The sequence below is a fragment of the Homo sapiens genome, chromosome 1 (assembly GCF_000001405.40).
Source record: "Homo sapiens chromosome 1, GRCh38.p14 Primary Assembly".
In the NCBI taxonomy this organism is placed as follows: domain Eukaryota; kingdom Metazoa; phylum Chordata; class Mammalia; order Primates; family Hominidae; genus Homo; species Homo sapiens.
In genome coordinates this window covers 167,023,352-167,047,236 of record NC_000001.11, presented here as the reverse complement: position 1 = coordinate 167,047,236, position 23,885 = coordinate 167,023,352, and the positions used below count along the sequence as shown (strand labels likewise).

General features: G+C 39.0%; 1 non-coding gene across 1 annotated transcript, besides 2 other annotated features; it reads right to left on the bottom strand.

Annotated features, from left to right (window-relative positions):
* Positions 3,063-3,212: an enhancer, noted in NCBI's record as "active region_2032". NCBI's record gives its function as "activates an Ori minimal core promoter by ATAC-STARR-seq in GM12878 lymphoblastoid cells {active_cell/tissue: GM12878}" and the evidence as "EXISTENCE:reporter gene assay evidence [ECO:0000049][PMID:35858748]".
* Positions 3,293-3,342: an enhancer, noted in NCBI's record as "active region_2031". NCBI's record gives its function as "activates an Ori minimal core promoter by ATAC-STARR-seq in GM12878 lymphoblastoid cells {active_cell/tissue: GM12878}" and the evidence as "EXISTENCE:reporter gene assay evidence [ECO:0000049][PMID:35858748]".
* LOC124904834 (small nucleolar RNA U13) lies at positions 5,701-5,802 on the bottom strand. Its single transcript, XR_007067430.1, has one exon. It is a non-coding gene; the product is annotated as a small nucleolar RNA U13 (small nucleolar RNA).
* Positions 5,803-23,885: the final 18,083 nt, after the last annotated feature.

Sequence of the window (23,885 nt, the reverse complement as noted above, 5' to 3'; positions counted from 1 at the left end):
CAGCCAGATCTCTTAACTCTTCTTTTATATTTTCCATTACTGTATTCCTTCCTAATGCCTTTTGGGGAGTGTTCCTTGACCCAATCTTATAGTTCACTAATTCTGGGATAGAGGCTGGCTTAGTCTAGGTTTCTGTGAAAGCAGAGCCTGAGATCATGATACCTGTCTTACTTAGGAGATGATCCCATAGCAATAGCCCACTCCATAACACAGATTTTGTTGACTTTTTTTCTGTCCCACTTTTCTTGTTCCATAACTTCTGCTTCCTGGGCAACTAAGGCTCATTCTACTAGGGGCCCTCTGAGAAACTGTAGAATATGCCTCAGGATTGTAGCACTGAAGGGAGGAACAGCTGGGGCATTTATCTACCACTTCCATCCCATAGGGATCTACTGGCTAAGGGCTGTTTCTGGGGCTGTTACCTCCCCCACACTTCCCAGCTGCCCCCCATAGGTTGGTAGAAATCTCCTGAGGGAATAAAGAAAAGCGTAGCATGCACTTGAGTAGGTGCAGAGGCATCATGAGTGGACCTGTCCATTATAGCTGAACTACAAGCAGGTGACCAAGGGAATGAGGTGTAGGGACCACAAGCACTTGCCCAGGCCCTCAGGGTGGACAGCCTACAGGCTTCTCCACCTCAGGGAGACCCTGACCCTGGGAGACTGCTTATACCTCAGCTTCAGGCATTGCTCCTCTTCAGAAGCCTTCGCTCCTGATTGCAGTCACTCGGCCTCAAGTGTGGGCTCGGGGGAGTCCCTCTCTTGTTATTTTCTCTGGCGAGGCACCCTCTTTGAAGCTTGCAGCTGATTCCTGTAGTGTTGGGCTGCAGCAGCCCCTTTTCTCTTTACCAGCAGTAACTGGACAGGGAATGATTTGCTCAGAGCAATACAATGACAAGAAAAGAGCCCCTGAATGAAAGTTTTTCCCAACCTGAGAGTCCTCCTAGATGCCACTTTTTTTTAAAGTCAACTAGTGGCCAGTTTTGAAGACATTATCCCTTTAGCATCTCTCCTATGAGTCTTCCTCCTCCCCATTCTCCTTTCTGTTGCAGCATTGTTCTGGGGCATAGAGACCTGGCCTCATCTGCTTATATATTCCTGGTTTGGAACAAACCTTGTTTTCTGCTCATTGGTAGCCCTTCAAGCCAACTTTATGCAAAACCAGGGAAGTGGCCTCTGCATGGGCAAGTGTCTAAATTAAGCATTTCAACCTACATAAAAACATGTCACCCTAACCCCACTCCACCCTTCTAGGCTGGCTTAAATTTAAGAATATTTGCACTTAAATCCGACTAAGAATATTTGCACCCCAGAAATTTCAAGAGATTATAAGTTTGGACTTACTGCTGATCGATACATTTCAAAACTTCCAATAAAAGAAATAGTACTTACAGAGAGTTGTACAAAGTATAGAATATTCTTTACTTTTTCCTTGTCTCAAGCCAAGCCATCGGATCTGCATCTTCGGTTGGAATCACCTTGAGTCCCTCTGGAATTCTTTTACATAACTACTTTAGCATTATTCCACTGGTCATCATTGTAGGAAATTGTTAGAAGCAATATTAGGTCTCTCATTTTTGTATTTATCATTAGAGTATTGTTGAGGACACTGCTCACTACATTGTAAATTACTTGTTGATGAAAATCCACCAGATAATTTTCTCTCAGGTCTGCTTACTAGGAAAGTTTTTGCTGCTCAGTTTTTTGGGTTTTTTTTCCACGATCTTGGCTCACTGAAACCTCCACCTCCTGGGTTCAAGAAATTCTCCTGCCTCAGCCTCCCAAGTAGCTGGGATTACAGGCATCTGCCACCAAGCCCGGCTAATTTTTGTATTTTCAGTAGAGACGGGGTTTCGCCATGTTGGCCAGGCTGGTCTCGAACTCCTGACCTCAGGTGATCCACCTGCCTTGGCCTCCCAAAGTGCTGGGATTACAGGCGTGAGCCACTGCACCCGGTTTCTTCTTTTTTTTTTTCTATTCCCATTAGGTCATAAGTTTTTGCTACATATAAGCAAGTCTGCTATAGACACATTGTGTTAAGGACACCATGAATTATATACAACTTGTGCTTTCCTCATTGCAATGATTGCTAGGAAGTTCAGAGTCAAACTTATATATGTCAAGGAACTGTTCAGGATTTTTCTAAATGGAGTTGGTGAACTAACTTTGTCCATGATTTCATCTCGCTCTCTCTCCTTTTTTGCCCTCATTTTATCTTCACAGTGATTTTGACTTTATTTAGTTCTCATCTTTTATGTATTTGTGGAATCCACCTTAAGTCCTCTTGAAAACAAGATGGGATTGAGTAGCAGTGAATACGAATAATAAAAACAGCTGTGGGGAGTGAGGTATAAGCGCCTGGAGTTGGGGTTGGGGAGGGAGAGTTTTGGCTGATTCAGCTCCTTGGGAGTCACAGGCCTGGATGAGGGGCATGACATGGAGGACATGCCCTGAGTGAGGGTGTGTGGTGAGAAAGCAGCTGAGGACGGGTTCTGTGGACAGCTTTATCACAGATGGAGGAGATGACAGTGAAAGGCCTGCAGCATGGCTGGAGGAAAGGAAAGCCCGAAAGAGGTCGGTCTGGGAAGCAGGAGAATATAGGTTCTTCCCTTTTGAAGTATTTTAAACAAGCCCATCATGTTTCTATTCTGCCCTTTTCCTCATAAAATCAACAAGAGGAATTGCACAGTTGAAAGACTTAATTGAGCATAGTTTATTTGGCTTGGCAGGCTTCTATGATTTTTTTTTTCTCTCCTGAACTAAAAAAAAAAAAAAAAGGCTACCCACGGAGAGAGAAGCTTTTCTGTTTCCACCTAAAGTTCACTTCCCACATTCCCAGCAGCCTTGGCAGACCCCTGTCAGTCTGGTCTATGGCGAGAGTAAGCGAGCCTTCCTGCACTTCCAGTCTGAGAGCACGCCCTGGTCTACCAGCGGATCCCGCGGGGAGTCAGGGCCCCAGCCTCTCCAAGCTCCTGTGGCCGAAGGTGACGTCAACACCCACTGCGCGCCTTCAGAGCGGCAGCGAGGCGGAAGTGGATTTCTGTAGAGAGGCACCTGGACTCATAATTTAGTGTACTTTCACTGCCTCCCCCACTTGGCAATCAAAACCGGAGATGCTTTTGAGCTTTCTTTTGTGCTGCCCGGAGAGGAGATGGGCTTATTGTGCCAACGGGCAATTATTTCATATCGCTCTACAGAGCACAAGCTGCAGCTGTCTTGGAGCAGGAGCTTTGCAAGGTGGATTCAAAGTGTCTCGTCTCACCAGGCATCCAGGAAGAGGCTTCAAACACCCTGCGGGAATACTTAGTGAGCAACTTTCTAGACACATCAGCCTCAGTGAATCTCAACTAGTCAGTCTCCCTGTCTCAGTATCTTCAGGTGTGCATATACCTGCTAGAGGTTGTCCAGGGTGGGGACAGTGTATTAGAGGAACATGAGCAATCGGCTGAGGAAATGAAAGAAGAACTGAATTTTATAAAGCATATTCAAAGGCATGACCCATTTTAATCTTCACAGCCACATTATCAGCCAGGCATTATTCATCTTAGTTTACAGATGAGGAAACCAACGCTCGGGATATTAAAGTGACTTGTTAAGGAACATGCAGCTGGTTAGTGACAAAGATAGAGCCCAAACTCAGGTCTAACTATGTTAGTTCTGGGCTGTCTTATAGATTTTTTTTTTTTCCCCAGAAAGAGATTGAGAGAACCCTTAAATAAAGATGTTAGTTGCTTAAGTACAATTCATACCATGAGCCTTAGTCTCTCCCTTCAGGAACAATCTATATGGTTTATCAGCTCAGGGCAGCCTTCCTCCTCTCCCAGCATGTTACTTTCATCTTCTTGTTCTGTCTTTTCTCTAACTGGCTTTCATTGTCTTTTTTATGAAACTAAAAACATCCTGCAGTCCCTTTGAACCTGTTCCATGACAGAGGAGAGCTCTGTGGCTTGGCCGGGGAACAGTTAAGCGGAGCAGAGAAACAATGCCACCATCAAATATCGCCCAAGGTCCCATTAATAAGGGTTGTTCTCCAGACCCGACAGGACCAAAAAGCAGGGTTGCATTTGTGTTATTTCTGCTCCCTTAGCTTCTCTACAAGTTTGATACCATGGAAATAATTGAGGAAGACCTAAAAACCAGGTGCTCCGGCTTTGTGTGACTTTGAACAGTGGCAAGGTCTCTGGAGTTTTTTTTCCCTCTTATTGATAAAAGAATCAGTCAGGAAGAGGTTCAAGATCCTCTTCTAGCGCCAACAGTCATCTGTATGGAAGAAACCAATATTTTTACCTCTGCTTTTGACTTATCAGTGGGGTTGACCTGCAATTTCTGAATATGGCAAATGGGAATATGGGGAAAATCATATGAAAGAATAGTCTATTCTTTTAGAGATGGTCTTTCAGCCTGAATCAGGAGAATAACATCATTTCTTTTTCCATTACTTTCTGAGGAAGGAAAAGATGTTCACTCTTGTAACTCCAGTGCCTAAAACAGTGCTTGGACATAGCGTGTGTTCAACAAATATTACTTGAATTAATGAATTAATAAAATAAACTTAAATATCCAAGAAATCCAATATTTCTTAAAATTCAAGACTCTAATTAATATTTGAAAATCTTTGTTTTTGTCCATGTGCTAAGTACATGTCTGTGATACTCCATGGTCCCCATACCCCACCCTCCAATTGAGTTTCCATAGGACCTGAGGTCTCTTTGGCATAGTCAGATCTTGCTAGAATTTAAGGCTGTGTTAGTTAACAAAAATATAATAACTTGAAGCATGAGGAAAAGTCTCATCAGAGACACAAACAGACAATGCACAGGAAAAGAAGTGAGAATTACACTTAACCCTGGGAAAAGATGCTCAACATCATTCACTTATAAGTGTAAATTGAAACTACACTAAGATACAATTTCCCACCAGTAAGATTGGCAAAAATCCAAAATTTGGACCACATACTTTATTGGTGAGGCTAGGGTGAAACAAACACTCTTCTACATTGCTGGTAGGAATAAAAGATGGCATCATGATGATGGAGGGGAATAGGGGGAAATTTAGCAAAATTATATGTGCATCTACCATTTGACTCGGCAATCATACTGAAATTTATCTTTCAGAAATCTAGATTTTAGAACACTATCCCAAAGCCACAGTAGCAAAAATATGATAAAAGATGTATGTATAAAGTACTGTTACAGCATTATTTGTAATAACAAAAGACTGGCATCAATCAGAATCGACAGCACAATAGTTAAATAAACAATTCTTCGGCCACATAATGATACAGTGCAGTGTAAAATGGGGATTATCTCTATACAGTAAGTGATCTCTAGGGTATATTGTTAAATGAAAAAAGCAAAGTAAAGAAAAATATGTGTAGTAAGCTACCATTTACATATAAAAGAAAGAGTAGAACCTATCTACCTATCTCTGTAGGTGTGCATTTGCTTACATTATAAAAACCAACAAGGGAATAAAAACTATTTTTAAATAGCTGTATAGAAGAGGAGAGGGAGGAATATCTTTGAATATTCCAAAGATTTGTCTTTAGAAACATAAATTATTTTTTAATTATAAAACAAAATTAAATAAATACATAATCCCCCAAAGCAAAAATAAAATGTGATTATATTTGTGTAGCCAGTAAACACCATTATGAAACAAAGAAAAATAATTTCAAATGACTTTATTTTATATTTTTTCATGTCAGATGGGTAATGTGCCCATGCTATAATAAGGTTCGAGGGTGGCACATCTCACACATGCACATACAAACTCAATCATCACACTTAAGCTACAAAAGCAACCTCGAGTGACTTTTTTTTTTTTTTTTTTTTGAGAGCATGTATCTGATCTTGGCTCACTGGAGCCTCCACCTCCTGGGCTCAAGCAATCCTCCTACCTCAGCCTTCCAAATAGCTTAGACCACAGGCGTGCGCCACCATGCTCAGCTAAGTTTTTTAACTTTTTGTAGACACAATCTCTCACTATATTGCCCAGGCTGGTCTCAAACTCCTGGTCTCAAATGATCTTCCTGCCTTGGCCTCCCAAAGTACTGGGATTACAGGAATGAGCCACCACGCCCAGCCTTCACATGACTTTAAAACAGCAATTTGGCCACATATTCCCATTGAGATCAATCCTAAGGACAAAAAGAACAACAAACACAAAAACAAAACCTTGAACTGTTCTCAGTAGTCATATTGTTGGTGGTAGAGTTGGTATTGCTATTTTGAGACTACTGTGTTGTAGGATAAAGAAAAGTGATTATTTGGTTTCATTGAGAACTATATATTTTTGGTGTGGTTGAAAGGAGATATAGATGCAAGATTGATAAGTTTAAGTAGGAACCTGTAGACCTGTATTTCATTTGGCATGAAATCATGACATTTTTCATCTTAAAAACATATTTTCTAGTTCTGCCTGCTGAAGAAATCCAGACAGAATTTCTGACTGTAGTCAGGCATCCCCAAGACCAAACTTAGGTTCAGTGATTCTCTAGAAAAACTGGCAGAACTCAGCAAATATGCTGTACTCATGGTTACAGTCCATTACAATGAAAAGATACAGATTAAAATAAGCAATGGAAAAAGGCACATAGGGCAGATTGCAAGAAAGACAAGATACAAGCTTCCATTTTTCCTGTCCCAGTGGAGTCATATGGACAGCCTTAATTTTTCCCAGCAATGATGTGTAGCAGCGCATACAAGGTAGTGCCAACCACAGAAGCCTTTTTTTTTTTTTTTTTTTTTAAATCTGGGGTTAGTGATGTGGGCATGAATTTCCAAAGGTCAACTGATACTGCATGGCCCAAGGCATCTATCAAAAATCACATTGTTAGCATAGACTACCTGGTATGGTACTATAGACTACCTTCCAAGGTCCTAAAGAAACAGACATTCTTACCAGGAAAGACATCCCAAGGCCTTCAAAGTTATCTCCCAGGAGTTGGTCAAGGGCTAAACTTTCTGTGGAATGTACAGGGTTTGGGCAACCCATGCCTGCTGAGTTAATCCTTTGCTGCAAACTGACAGCAAGGCACCACTAGTACACAGATTGTGGTAAATACCATTGCCAACAAACAAAAATAGGGCTTTTTGGAGAAATGGCTGAATCCAGGTCTAGGGAAGGTGAGCCTAGAATATATTCAACTCAAACAACTCAACAGGAAAAAAACAAATAACTTCATTAAGTTATTTGTGAGCAAAGGACGTGAATAGACGTTTCTAAAAAGAAAACATACAAACAGCCAACAGGTATATGAAGAAAATGTCCAACATCACTAACAATCAGAGAAGTATAGATCAAAACCACAATGAGTTATCATCGTACCCCAGTTAGAATGGCTATTAAAAAGGAAAAATATAAAGGAATAAGGAAGCTATCAAAGATTATTAGAATTGTGTCACTAGGACTCAGATGTCAATCTAAATAAGTTTCCACTGGCCAAAAGACAGGATGACTTAAGCAATGATAATAAAGATAATTATTACAGTAAAAACTTTAAAACCACATATCCATTTTTATAATGATACTAAAATAACCACAACAACTCACTGGTGCCCTTTGGAAGATGCTAGGAATAACCCACATTATTAATTTAAAAATAGGTAAATAAAACATTTGTTCTCTCTTTCTTAAATGATTAGAAAAACCAGATATTTGATATGGTGTGTTGGCAGAGGGGCTTCTCTTTGCAAAAGTATTTCCGCTGAAAAGAAAAAGAAAAAGAGAATGGGATAGAATTATAGTATCGTTATGTTTCAAAACCTACTGAAGTAGTGGATTTGGACAATGATCATCACCCTCAAAAAAGAAAACAACAGAGACTGTCCCTCCTATTAGAAATACAAACACCACCCGTAAAGGCCTGAGGTGGGGGAAAAATGTGACTAAGTATCTAGATGTAATTACCAGTTCATAAGTGATACAGGCCAGAGGAAAACATGTTAAATGATCTTTTAGGGCAGCCATGCAGTCAGCAAAATCAAGACTATAGGAAACTACAGTACAACTATGGAAAATTACAGAGCTTGTTTTATCACAAAATTTTTTAAGTTTGCAGAAAATGAAGGGGAAACCTACAGAATAAAAGAGACATATCAATAAATTAGAATATATGATACTTATTTGTATCTCAATCCAAACAATCAAAGTGTAAAACAAAAAGCAAAATCAAAATCATTTCTAAGACAAGTGAGAAAATGTGAAGACTGACTACTGAATAATATTAAGGCATTATTATAAATGGATTTTAGGTGTGTACTGAGATTGCCTGATTTTTTGGGTTTGTTTTTGTTCTTTTTAGTCCTTATCTTTCGAAGGCACAGACTGAAATCCTTATAAATTAAAATAATATGTTTGAAATTTGCTTCAAAATAATCTGGTGGGAGGTATAGGGAATGGGTGGGGGTATAGGTGAAACAAAATTTGCCATACTTGTATTGATAGCTGTTTAATCAGGGTGAGAGGTACACTAGATTCTTTATATGTTTTCTCTACTTTTGTATGTTTGAAACTTTCTATAATAAAAAGTTAAACCAACAAAAACAACAATAAAAACAAAAGCCCTATATCAAATAACAAGATGGCCCCAGCATTTTGATTGAAAAAAAGTATAGGGAATCTCCCTTCCTTCCTTCCTCCCTCCCTCCCTCCCTTCCTTCCTTCTTTTTTTCCTTCCACAAATATTTATCCATTATCTACTCTGTTCCAGGCAATGTAAAAACAGCAGTGAACAGCTATAGTAACCAAAACAGCATGGTATTGGTATAAAAATAGACACATAGACAAATGGAACAGAATGGAGAACTGAGAAATAAAGCCATGTATTTACAGCCAACTGACCTTTTACAAAGCCAACAAGAACTTACATTGGAGAAAGGATACTCTCTTCAATAAATTGTGCTGGTAAAATTAGCCACATGCAGAAGAATGAAACTGGACTCCTAGCTCTCACCATATACAAAAATCAATTCAAAATGGATTAAAGCCTTAAACATAAGACCTGAAACTATAAAAATACTAGAAGAAAACCTAGAGTAAACTCTAGGACATTGGTCTATGCAAAGAATTTATGACTAAGACCTCAAAAGCACAGGCAACAAAACCAAAAATAGACAAATGGGACCTAATTAAACTAAAAACTTTTTGCCCAGCAAAATAAATAATAAACAGAGTGAAGGGACAACTTGTTGAATGGGAGAAAATGTTTGCAAACTACCCATCTGACAGGGTACTAATATCCAGAATATAAAAAGAACTCAAACAACTCAACAGAAAAAACAACTCCATTAAAAAGCAAGCAAAGAATGTGAATAGCTATTTCTTAAAATAAGGCATACAAATGCTCAACAGGTATATGAAAAAAATGTTCAACATCACTATCAGAGAAATGCAAATCAAAACCACAATGAGATATCATCATACCCCATACCCCTTTTTATAATGGCTACTATTAAAATGACAAAAAATAATGGATGCTGCTGAGTATGTGGAGAAAAAGGAATTCTTACACATTGTTGGTGGGAATGTAAACTAATACAGCCACTATGGAAAACAGCATGGAGATTTCTCAGGAAACTAAAAATAGATTGACCCAGCAATCCCACTACTGGGTACCTACCCAAAGGAAAAGAAATCAATATATCAAGGAGATACCTGCACTCACATGTTTATTGCAGCACTATTTACAATAGCAAAGATATGAAATCAACCTAAGTGTCCATCAGCAGATGAATGGATAAGGAAAATGTGGTATATATACATGATGGAGTACTATTCGGCCATAAAAAAGAATGAAATCATGTCATGTACAGAACACTGATGGAACTGGAGGTCATTACCTTAAGTGAAATAAACCAGACACAAAAAGACAAATATCACATATTCTCACTTAAATGTAGGAGCTGAAATATTTGATTATGTGGAGACAGAGAATAGAAAGATAACAAGAAGGGTAAGTTGAGGGTAGACAAAGTTGAAGAGAAGTGGGCTAAAGCACCCAAGTGTACACTTATATAGAAATAATAAATTTAATGTTTGATAGCAGAGTAGGGAGACTATAGTTAATAAAAACGTATTATACTCAGGTGATGGCCACCCTAAATACCTTGACTTGGTCACTATGCATTATATATATGTAATAAAATTTCACATGTACGCCATAAATTTGTCCAAATTAAAAAAAAAGCAGTGAACAAAGAGAAAGACAAATTTCTTTTCCCTGTGGTGGGAAAAGGTAATCCTAAAAAAAATGAATGAGTAAAACAAAGTATGTCCAATGCTTATAACTACAATGGTGGATAATAAATCAGGCCAGGGGGCTACAGAATGTGGATAACTGCTATTTTGAAGAAGGGGTCAAGACCTCATTGAGAAGGTGACATTTGTGTCAACACCTGAGGAAGGTGAGGAGAGAGGTATGCAGATATCTACAGGAAGAGTATTCTGGGCAGATGAACCACCTAGGGCAAAGGCCTTGAGGCAGAAGTGTGCTTGGAGTATTTAAGGAAGAGTAAGGAGGACAGTGTGGCTGCAGCAGACGGAGCAGAGGTGTGTGGGAAGCAAGGCCAGGGAGATAGTGCAGGGTCTTAGTGGCTACAGAAAGGACTTTGACTTTGAACTTTGACATGACTTAAGATGAAGAACCAGTACAGGTTTGTTTTTTTTAAGCAGCTTTATTGAAGTATGCATTAATTTCCTGGAGCCGCCAAATAAATTGCCATCAATGTGTAGCTTAAAACAGTAGAAATTTATTCTTTCACAGTTCTGGCAGCAATAAGTCTGAAATTGGGATATCTGGAAGCTGAGCTCTGGGGAACTATAAAATTTTGAGAAAGGGAGATAATGAAAAAGCAGCTAAGACTGAGGAGCAACCAATAAGGCAAGAGAGAACCAAGAGGATGCGTGGTCCTAGAAGCCAAGTGAAGAAACTGTTTCAACTGTGTCTACAAAATATTGCTTATAGGTCAATTAAGTTGAGGACTGAGACTTGGACCATTTGATTTAGCAATGTGGAAGTCACTGGTGGCCTTGATAAGAGTAATTACAGTTAAGTGACATGGACAAATGCCTGATTGAGTTCAAGAGACAATGGGAGGAGAGAAATTGAGGACAGGAAGAAAAGATAATTCTTTTGAGAAGCTTTGCTCCAAAAGGGAGCCAATAATGAAGCAGTAGACAGAGAGGGGCTCAAGGGTTATTTTTATTTTTAATGAGAGAACTAATTGTACAGTGATGGGAATGATCCAATTGGGAGGGAACCGTTAATGATGCCAAAGAGGGGAGAACTGCTGGTTCAACACTCTGAGTCTGGGATAAGATTTAGAGAAGAGGAGAGTTATTGGCCTTAAGAGGAGCACCAACAAGTTATTCATTCTAACAGGCAGGGTTGAGGATGGAGTGGGGGACACAGCATATGGTGGTGAGAGCTTATAGAAGTTCTCTTCCTCAGTGAAGTGTGAAGCTAAAAGTGAGGATGGGAAGGAGATGTCGGCATTTTAAGGAAAGAAGAGAAGGTATGAAAGAGTCATCTAAAAGAAGAGTTAGCGAGTGAGTGGACTAGGAAAAGAAAAGCATGACTTGAGAGGCAGTGGATGAGGGAAATGCAGTAGTGTTAAGGGCCTCATTGAGGGTGGTGGTCATGAATTCACAGTGAGACCAGGTAGCATGGCAGTGTGCTTTTCTTCAGCGTTATTCAGATGTGTAGGTGTTGGTGTGAAGTGGGCAGAGAGTTGTGTTTAGCAAGGCTTTAGATTGTGCCACACAATTATTTAGTAAGGGAAGTGGGAATGTATACCAGGGAGTGATCATAACACTTGATTGTGGACTTTGAACATGGTAAGGGTCAAAATGTGAACAAAAGCATTGTATGACACAGGAAAAAATATGATTAAATTAATGGGTTGTAGGTCCCATTAAACCTACAAGTTCAAAAATAGGAGAATTGTTTAACTTGGGGTGCCAGAATTTATGAGCTAAAAATGGAGGTGGCGAGCAGAGAGTATAATGTTGAAATGGAAGGTGTGGAATTGTGATATTGGTATATGTCTAAGAAAGTGGACAGTAGAAGCAGGGTGAAGGGCAAATTCCTGAGGAGAGGATGTCAAAGAACCAAGACATCTGATCCATGAGAAGATCATCTCATGGAGACTGAACTCTCCAAGAACTAAGGCAGAAGTAGTGTTGGAGAGTGTGACAGAGCTCAGAGCTAAAATAATCAAAGAATGAGTGGGAGTGATCTGGTGGAGTAGATGACAGCAACAATGAGGAAGAGTGGTGACATAACTTGTCAACCTGACCTTCCCCTGAAGTAAGTCATAAGACCCTCATGTGAGAGGTGCCCTTCCTGTACCTGGAGGAAAAGGAAAGGAACATCCTTATCTCTGAAGATCAAGAGATGCCAAAAAGCATATGAACAGGCAGGCCTCGCTAAGTTTCTCCCAGTTCATTACCATTAGACCATACCAATTCATCCTATCGTATTTCTCCATGACTATCCATTCTTTATGAAATCTATGAAAAAAACACTTAGGTTTAATTGTTTATTCAAGTCTTTATTTATTTATCAAGTCTCCCATGTTACATAGAACTTATAAATGTGTATGCTTTTCTCTTGTTAATCTGTTTTTTTTACAGGATCTCAGCCATGAACCTAAGATGGGTAGAAGAACAGATATCCTCCCCACCTCACATAACAATTTCCATTTTTTCAAAGAAGGAATAAAGAATATGACTGTATGCCTGACTGTTATAGTTCTATAGGTGTATAATACTTTGGAAAAATACCCAACAACTGGCCACATTGATGTCCTGGGGAAAGGAATTAAGTACATGGGGACAATGGTGTCATCCCTAGGGGTTACCATGTATCCCTGGTAACTTTTGAATTTGAGCTGCATACATACAATGCCAATTACAAATAGTAATAGTGATATTAATTTAAAAGGATGTCTTTTTGTTTTCAAGTTGGGGAGACAAAATATACATACACTTCTTATTATAAAATGGAAAGTGTTTAGTGTCCTAAGAGAGGCAGAGATGAGATTGCATTCCAGACTTGGCTAGAAAGTCAGGGCTGGTGGAAATTTAGGTACAAGTGTGAGTTTGTATTTTGTTTAAATATACTTCAATGGAACTGGAATGAATGCCCCAGTCTCCAAGTTCAGGTCATGTTCAGCAGTGCTTTAGCCTCCAACAAGTTTTTTGGGTAAAAGCAGGTGCCAGAAAATATGTAAAGTTCCATAAGGGTGCTGCTAGCATCTGGTAAAAGTCAAGGGTTTAATATTACTAGTTAAAAGCTTTTTAAACACTCATCACCTTCTTTTGTGATCTGTTCCAGTGTTGAAGTAGCTGTGCTTAACACCATTGTGTGCCAGCGGGAGACAGAAAATGCATGTTATTTTTAGCAAAGTCTAGTGCAAATGGTGGATGCTCTTTGGACTCTGCTGGCAGATTTGATTCTTAGCTCCTGGAAAGCCAAATTTATTTAAATTGCCATCCTTGTATGTCGTCTCAAAGAGTGAAATGAACTTTTCCAGTTCCTCAAACTGTGATGTGGTGGGTGAATAAAATCCCAAGGTGGCATCCAACTAGGACTGGATTGAACGTTTCTTTCTTTTTTCTTTTTTTTTTTTTTAAAGCTAAGTAAGGACACAGAGTTTCAGCTCAGCAGCTGATAAAGACAACTGATTTACTGGAAAAGCACACAGAACTCTTCCACCTTTATTTTCTAAAACAGGAAAATTCTCAGGCAACTCATTAACTCTAGCTCTTCCCAAATCAACTGTCTTAAAGATTAAGATACCCTAACTTGAGAGGAAGAAAACTCTATACTTCAATATTTTACTGCCCAAGTCACCAAAAAGCCTCTCATAAAATTTCTCTTTATTATTAATTAAAGAGACAGGGTCTTACTATGTTGCCCAGACTGGACTCGGACTCCTGGGCTCAAGCAATCCTCCTGAGTAGCTGGGACTACAGGTGAGCACCACTTTTCTTCCTTGAATCTATTAATATGGCAAATAACATTTATAGATTTTTGAATGCTAAATCATCTTGCTCTCCTGAAGAAACTCAACTTGGACATGACTTTTTTAATATATTGAAACACTCTATTCCTTGTAAGTTTAGAATTCAGCTGTTAAACTCTGTGGCTTTGGCATTTTATTCTTTAGAATACTTTAAACTATTGCTTCAATTTCTCTGTTTCAGGAAATATAGGCTTTCTTTCTTCCTGAGACACTTCCAGTGAATTATATTTTTCTGGGAATTTGTTTCCAATTCATCCAAGTTCCCAAATTTATTGGTATGGAAAGTTCATATTATTATTTTATGTCCTTAACCCCTGCTGGTCTGAACTTAATGTCCCCTTTTGGAACATAATGTTGTTTGTGCCTTCCCTCTTTTTGCTTGGTTTATCTCACCAGAGTTTTATCTATTTTAATATTTTTCAAAGAGCCAACTTGGGCTTTGTTGAACCTATTGTACCTTTTCTATTTCATTGATGCTTTCTTTTTATTATCACCTTCCTTCCATATTTAATGGGCTTATTCTTTTTCTAACTTCTTAAGTTGGTATTTAATTGTTGAATTTTCAGCCCTTCTTTACTTGTAATATAAATATTTTCTCAATACTTCTATATTCTAATATGTAGTGTTTGATTATTGTACAGTTGTTATGAAGAATTTTTACTATCATTTAGTCATAAGAAGGTTTTAGAATCCATTATTTCTTTCAGACTTACAGGTTTTAAATGTTATAAAAAATTTTATTGATAGATGAATAGTGGAGAAAGAACATGACTGTATGTCAACTTCTTGAAATTTATTGAGATTTAATTTATGGTTTGGTCCATTATTGTTTTTTGAAAAAGTTGCATGTCTGTTTGAAATGAATGTGATTGAGAAATTGTCCATTAGATCAAATTTGTTAGTTTAAAATTTCAAATATTCCATATATTTACTGGGTTTTGGTATGCTTGACTTATCAATAATAGACGTGTTTAAATCTTTTGGCATGATGATGGATTTGTCTGTTTTTCCTTGTATTCTATTAGTTTCCATTTTGCATTTGTTGAAATTATTATAATAGGTGTATAAAAGGAAACATCATTGAATTAACCAGGAAATATAAAAATGTTGAGTATTTTATATTTCCTGGTTAATGCAATGATTTTTATACTAAACATTCTTTTATTTGATATTAATATAATTATGACAGGATTGGTATTTCTCTATTTTTAAACTTTTATTTTAGGTTCAGTATATACATTTTTTATCCTTTTTCTTTTTTCTTTTTTTAAAGACTGAGTCTTGCACTGTTGCCCAGCCTGGAGTGCAGTGGTGCTATCTCAGCTCACTGCAACCTCTGCCTCCCAGGTTCAAGTGATTCTCCTTGTCTCAGCCTCCTAAGTAGCTGGGATTACAGGCACCCGCCATCACGCCCAGCTCATTTTTTTTATATTTTTACTAGAGACGGGTTTCACTATGTTGCCCAGGCTGGTCTCAAACTCCTGACCTCATGATCCTCCCGCCTCAGCCTCCCAAAGTGCTGGGATTACAGGGGTGAACCACTGTGCCCAGCCTATCCTTTTATTTTTCATCTTTCCGTAGCAATTAGCTTCAGGTGTAAATCTTATAAGCAGCATGTTACTGGATTTTTAAAAACTCAGAATGGCAAACTTCTAACTGGTGAGTTTAGTCCATTTATATTTATTTTAAGTATTGATATGTTGCATTAGATTTTACCATTTTACTTTATACTATTTTCCTTGTTCCCCAACCCCATGTTTTTCTTTTTTTTCCCTTGCCTCCAGAGGTATGAGTTAATTTTATTGTTGTTGATTGCATTTTTCCTTATTCCAATTGTTTTCTATTGGTTTGGAATTATTTACTTTATATATATTCTCTTAATGGCTACCTCTGAAATTTTGCCACACCTATTTGACTTAATAATATCGAGTGTAAAATAATATATTAATTTCTTAATAAACCATTCAATAACTTAGAATACCTTAATTTCATTTAACTCCCCTTCAGACTTACATGTTATTATAGATCCAGTATTTTAGTCCCATCCTTTTATAACCTCACAAGTTAATAAATATACTAATAATTACAATTTTTATACAAACAATATTTGTCTAGATTTGCACGTTTGCCATTTTATGTCCTTGCTATCTCATCATGCATCTCAGACTGTCCTTCTAGGATAACTTCAGAAGTCCTTTATTATTAGTTCAATTGGTGGCAACAGATTTTTAAATATATAAATGTATTTATTTGATCCTCTTTTTTCAAAGATAATTTATTGGGTACCCAATTCTAGTTTGATAATGATTTTCTCTCAACATTTTGGAGATATTATTTCACATCTCCTGACTGCCTTTGCTGCTGCCAGAGTTTTCTGTCATTGTCCCTTTGTAGGTGATATTTTTCCGTGGCTGCTTTCGAAGTCTACTCTGGTGTTCATGAATTTTCCCTTCAATATCTTTGGGATAGGTTTTTATATTTATCTTGAGGATTCATGTTTTTCATTATTTCTTACAATTTTCAGCCATTATCTCTTTAAATATAGCCTCTCATCCATCTCTCTATTCTTAAACCTCATCTTTTTCCTTCATATCTCTTAACATCTCTTTCTTATGTTCCATTCCAGTCTCTTTTTTCTACGTTTCTTCAGAACTATTTTCCAACGCAGTAATTTTCTTTTCAGTTGTGATTAACTTCCCATTGTGGGTTTTTTCACTTCAACAATTCTAATTTGTTTTTTGTGTTTTTTTTTAGTGTGATTTTCTTTTTTTATATTTTTTTGGTATTTATTGATCATTCTTGGGTGTTTCTCGGAGAGGGGGATTTGGCAGGGTCATAGGACAATAGCGGAGGGAAGGTCAGCAGATAAACACGTGAACAAAGGTCTCTGGTTTTCCTAGACAGAGGACCCTGCGCCTTCCGCAGTGTTTGTGTCCCTGGGTACTTGAGATTAGGGAGTGGTGATGACTCTTAACGAGCATGCTGCCTTCAAGCATCTGTTTAACAAAGCACATCTTGCACCGCCCTTAATCCATTTAACCCTGAGTGGACACAGCACATGTTTCAGAGAGCACGGGGTTGGGGGTAAGGTTATAGATTAACAGCATTCCAAGGCAGAAGAATTTTTCTTAGTACAGAACAAAATGGAGTCTCCCATGTCTACTTCTTTCTACACAGACACAGTAATAATCTGATCTCTTCTTTCTTTTTCCCACACTTCCCCCTTTTCTATTGACAAAACCGCCATCGTCATCATGGCCCGTTCTCAATGAGCTGTTGGGTACACCTCCTAGACGGGGTGGCGGCCGGGCAGAGGGGCTCCTCACCTCCCAGACGGGGCAGTGGCCGGGCGGAGGCGCCCCCCACCTCCCTCCCGGACTGGGCGGCTGGCAGGGCGGGGGCTGCCCCCGACCTCCCAGACGGGGTGGCTGCCGGGTAGAGGGGCTCCTCACTTCTCAGACGGGGCGGCTGGGCAGAGACGCACCTCACCTCCCAGATGGGGTGGCGGTCGGGCAGAGACACTCCTCAGTTCCCAGACGGGGTCGCGGCCGGGCAGAGGCTGCAATCTGGCACTTTGGGAGGCCAAGGCAGGCGGCTGGGAGGTGGAGGTTGTAGCGAGCCGAGATCACGCCACTGCACTCCAGCCTGGGCAACATTGAGCACTGAGTGAGCGAGACTCCGTCTGCAATCCCAGCACCTGGGGAGGCTGAGGCAGGCAGATCACTCGCGGTTAGGAGCTGGAGACCAGCCCGGCCAACACAGCGAAACCCCGTCTCCACCAAAAAATGCAAAAACCAGTCAGGTGTGGCGGCGCGCGCCTGCAATCCCAGGCACTCTGCAGGCTGAGGCAGGAGAATCAGGCAGGGAGGTTGCAGTGAGCCGAGATGGCGGCAGTACAGTCCAGCCTCGGCTTTCACAACTTTGGTGGCATCAGAGGGAGACCCGGGAGACGGGAGAGGGAGAGGGGGAGGGGGAGGGGAAGGGGGGGAGTAATTTGTTTTATTTCTGGAAGTTCCTTTTGTTTCTTGTTCTTCAAATACATCTGCTTGCGCTTCTTTGTGAATGAGTCTTTTATGTAAACATTTCATGCATAGCTCTTTTATTTTCTACGTCTGACAATTTCAGTATCAGCAGTGGGTAACTGTTACTTGCTGATTCTACTCTCACAGTGTGTCACCTTTTTTAAGGCTTTGTTTAATGAGCTTACTGCTTGATTTTGATTTGTAGGAATCCTGGGAAACGAAAATGGACAAACATTTCTTAAGAGAGGATTGTAACCTGTTTCTGACAGTGTCCAAGGGTTGCCACCAACCTGATACAATTTCACCTCCCTGAGAGGCAGAAGTCTTAGGCTCAGGCTCTCTACTTTGCTGCTGACCCTAGGCTCAGACTAATGATAGCAGTGCTATTTGCACCTACCCCCAACTCCCAGGCCATCCCTTCCCAACTTCTAAGCTTCCTTAAAATTCCTTCAGTCCATCTACAGGGGTCAAAATGAGGCAGACATGCTTAGAGTGATGACCACTCACTCAAAAGAGGTCTACTTGAACTAGTGTACTGCTTCTAGGAGCTCAACTCCCATATCCTCTTTAATCTCATTGTCATGAGTGAAGAGTCACAGGAACTCCTAGTCTGCTAACAATCGTAACCTTCCCATCCCTATCTGCTTTGACTCCACCAGGACCAACTTTCTTATGTTCTTTATCCTTGTTTATATCAGTTACTACAAGAACTACCAGACTCCTAAGTCACTGCTCATCTCCCACACCCAAATCTCCCTAAGGTTCTGTACATCTCTACTGCAGTCTCTTCTCCTCACCAATTCCTGAACCCTTCTACCATACCCCCTACAACTTATGGTTCATTATCAGCAAAACTGCTTTAATTTCAACCATTTTTCTTTCTTTTCTTTCTTTTTTTTTTTTTGTTGTTGTTGTTGAAACACAGACTCACTTTATCGCCCAGGCTGGAGTGCAGTGGTGCAATCTCAGCTCATTGTAGCCTCAACCTCCCAGGCTCAAGTGATCCTCCCACCTTAGTCTCCCCAGTAGCTGGGACTACAGGCACATGCCACCATGCCTGGCTAATTTATGTATTTTTTGTAGAGATGGAGTTTTGCCATGTTGTCCAGGCTGGTCTTGAACTCCCGAGCTCAAGTGATCCGCCTGCCTCAGACTCCCAAAGTGCTGGGATTCCTGGCATGAGCTGCCGTGCCCAGCCTCAAGCATTTTTCTGATTTCTCCCTTCATTTCCTTGCTAAAACTTAAATCTGGCTCTTTCCTGAGAGCAGTATTCCCTTGTAGCCTTCTCAAGTACTGGCTATTTTTCTTTCTCATACCTCTGTTACCACTGGACCTGGAGGTGAGATAGTGCCTCCTTGTTTCTCACTGTTACTTTCTATCTTCCTTCTCTCTAAAACTCTCGGCTTTGATTTTCATGTCATCAGATTTTAACACCTATCACCCTCATTTTGATGTCACCTATCAACCCTTGGGTTAACCCCACCTCCACCCTCCATTTTCTCAATAATTTTGGCTCCTGGGATACTACCACTCTCTCCAAGTCTTAATTACTGGTAATTTCAATGTATATGGAGATGATTCTTCCAACATCCTGACCTCTCATTTCTTTAGAAAAAAAATTTTTTTTATTTCCATAGGTTATTGGGAGAAGGTGGTGTTTGGTTACATGAGTAAATTCTTTAGTGGTGATCTGTGAGATTTTGGTGCACCCATCACCCGAGCAGAATATACTGCACACAGTTTGTAGTCTTTTATCTATCACCCCCTTCCCACCCTTTCCCCCTGACTCCCCAAAGTGCATTGTGTCATTCTTACACCTTTGCATCCTCACAGCTTAGCTCCCACTTATTAGTGAGAACATATGATGTTTGGTTTTCCATTCCTGAGTTACTTCACTTAGAATAGTAGTCTCCAATCTCATCCAGGTCACTGCAAATGCCATTATTAATTCATTCCTTTTTATGGCTGAGTATTCCATTGTATATATATACACCACAGTTTCTTTATCCACTTGTTGATTATGGGCATTTGGGTTAGTTCCACATTTTTGCAATTGTGAATTATGCTGCTATAAACATGAGTGTGCAAGTATCTTTTTTGTATAATGACTTCTTTTCCTCTGGGTAGAAAGCCAGTAGTGGGATTGCTGGATCAAGTGGTAGTTCTACTTTTAGTTCTTTAAGGAATCTCCACACTGTTTTCCATAGTGGTTGTACTAGTTTACATTCCCACCAGCAGTGTAGAAGTGTTCCCTGTTCACTGCATCCATGCCAACATCTATTATTTTTTGGTTTTTTGATTATGGCCATTCTTGCAGGAGTAAGGTGGTATATAACATTATGGTTTTGATTTGTATTTCCCTGATCATTAGTGATGTTGAGCATTTTTTCATATATTTGTTGGCCATTTGTATATCTTCTTTTGAGAATTGTCTATTCATGTCCTTAGACCACTTTTTGATGGGATTTTTTTTCTTGCTAATTTGAGTTTGTTGTAGATTCTGGAAATTAGTCCTTTGTCAGATGTATAGATGGTGAAGATTTTCTCCCACTCTGTGTTTACTCTGCTGACTGTTCCTTTTGCCATGCAAAAGCTCTTTAGTTTAATTCCCAGCTATTTATCTTTGTTTTTATTGCATTTGCTTTTGGGTTCTTGGTCATGAAATCCTTGCCTAAGCCAGTATCTAGAAGGGTTTTTCCAATGTTCTCTTCTAGAATTTTTATAGTTTCAGGTCTTAGATTTAAGTCCTTGATCCATCTTGAGTTGATTTTTGTAAAAAGTGAGAGATGAGGATCCAGTTTAATTCCCCTACATGTGGCTTGCCAATTATCCCAGCACCATTTGTTGAATAGGGTGTCCTTTTCCCACTTTACGTTTTTGTTTGCTTTGTCAAAGATCAGTTGGCTGTAAGTATTTGGGTTTATTTCTGGATTCTCTATTCTGTTTCACTGCTGACTTCTCAGTTCCTTAAATGCCTCTCCTCCAACCATCTTGTTCTCTACCTCCCTCAGGAACTCATTCATAAAACAATACCCCGGTTATCTCACTGTCATTAACTGTGACCTTCTATAATCTTAATTTCATGCATTGCACTCTCTGACCACCAATCTCCTGTCTTTCTAGCTCACTCCTCCTGGTACCACAAAATCTCTTATCTATCCTTCAATCTTACCTCCAATTCATTGATCTAGTAATCTTGATAATTTATTCATCTTCCTACCCAGTCTATATTTTTTACTGAGGTAAAATAGACATACGCAATTTACCATCTTTACCATAAGTGTACAGTTCAGTGGTAATAAATACATTTATATTCCTTTTGCTCCTTCATGTCCCCCATGCCCTTCCCCTTCCTGGCCTATGGTAACCACAAATCTACTATCTTCATCAGATCTGCTTTTTTAGCTTCCACGAGTGGGAACATGCAGTATTTGTCTGTGTTTGGCTTATTTCACTTAATGGCCTCCAGTTCCATTCATGTTGCTGCAAATGACATGATTTCATTCTCTTTTATGGCTGAATAATATTCCATTGTGTAGATATACCACTTCTTGTTTACTCATTTATCAGTTCATGGCTATTTGGGTTGTATCCATTTTGGGGCTATTACAAGTAATCCTGCTATGAACAGTCATGTGCAAGTTTCTGTAGAAACATGCACAGAAATGGAATTGCTGGATCATATGGTCACTCTGTATTGAATTTTTTTAGGAATTGCCAAATTGTTTTCCATAGCAGCTGTACCATTTATATTCCCACCAGCAATGTATGAGGGTTCCAATTTCTTTACATCCTTACCAACACTTGTTTTCCTTTTTTTGATGATAGTCATCCTAGTGAGTATGAAGTAGTATCTTTTTTGTTTTGATATGCATATGCTAATGATTAATGATGTTGCACATCTTTTTGTATGCTTATTGGCCATTTGTATTTCTTCTTTGGAACAGATATTTGAAATATCTTTTCAAATCTTTTGCCTATTTAGAAACCGGGTCGTCTTTTTTATTGTTAAGAGTTCTTTATTACTCTGTATACTAGACCTTTATCAGATAAATGATTTGTAAATACTTTCTCCCATTCTGTGTGTTGTCTTTTTCACTTTCTTGATAGTATCTTTTAACACACAAGTCTGCTTTTTAGGACTTAGTTTTGATATATTCCAAATTATTTTTTCTTGTTTGTTCTTTTGGTGTCCTATTAAGAGACTGTTTCCTCATCTAAGGTCATGAAGATTTACACTTGTATTTTCTTCCTCTAACAGTTGCATAATTTTAGCTCTTACATTAGGTCTTTAATCCATTTTGAACTAATTTTTGTGTTAGGTAGGGTCCCTGTCTCAGTCCATTTGTACTGCTATAACAAAATACGTGAGACTGAATAATTTATAAAGAACTGAAATTTATTTCCCATGGTTCTAGAGATTGGGAAATTCAAGATGAAGGTGGTGGCAGAATTGGTATCTGGTGAGGGCTGCTCTCTGCTTCCAAGATGGCACGTTGTTGCTGCATCCTTTGGAGGGAACACTGTGTCCCCACATGGTGGAAGGGACAGAAGAACAAGAGTGTGCTTCCTTCAACCTTGAGCCTTTTTACAAGGGTGCTGATCCATTCATGAAGGCTCTGCTCGAAGGCCTCCAAAAGGCTACACCTCTTAATACTGTAGCACTGGGGATTAAGTTTCAACATGAATTTTGAAGGGACATCATCATTCAAACCATAGCATATCTAAATTCATTATTTTGCATGTGGATATCCAGTTGCCCTAGAACCATCTGTTTTAAAGACTATTCTTCCCTCCATTGAATGGTCTTGGCACAGATACATGAGTTTATTTCTGGAATAGACTCTCAATTCTATTCCAATGATTTACATACATCTGTCCTCATACTTAAGACCACTTTTATTAATGCACTGTAATTGTTTACTTCCCCCATTAAACTGTGAGTTCCTTGAGATCAGGAGCCACATCTTTATTCATCTTAGTATTTTTAACTCAGCATTTAACAGACTCTCACAACATGTTCATTGAACAAATCAAACTAACCACTTAGTTTTGAGGAAAAGAATGGGAATGGAGTCTACAATAAAGATGGTTCCCTTTCCCATGTAGTACTTTACCTTATGAAGTGGCTTTGAAATTCTGACATCCCTTCTCCATTACTCAAATTGGCAATTATTGATTCTAACATGTAGTGAACACCTTCTCATATAGAAATATGGGCACCACAAAGTTTGCAATTGAGAAAAAGAGATGTCATGAACCAAAATAGCTGTAATTAAAAACAGTTAAATGTTATAATAAAAAGGAAATACTACTGGAGTTAGAGGGGGCAGAAATCACTGTCAACCAGGATATCCATGAGTATACCAATCGCTCACCTAGTCTTCCTGAAGGGCAATTAATACTTCAAATTCAATGCCAAAAGGTTTTTTTTTTTAAAGAGGAGACAGGGTTTGAATTTTACTAATAATATGGTTTGGGAATTTTGATTATCTTTGAAGGGAAAGACCAGCTGTTCTCTTAAAATAAATCCCTGGGGCCTATTGAATTGTTTTCATTATTTGACATATACCTCAAAAGTACAACCAATACTATTATTTAAATTAAAAAATTAACTTGAACAATTCACAGAGGACTGAATTCAGGTGACAGAGAACAAGACTTAGGCATCTGAAGTCATGAGTCTGAATATTTAGACCTTCCTCATCTTCTCCATCCAATTATTAATAAGCTGAGTTTTTCAAAGTTATTATTATTAGTTTTGTAGAGGCAGGGTCTTGCCCTGTTACCCAGGCTAGAGTGCAATGGCATGATCACAGCTCAATGCAGCCTTG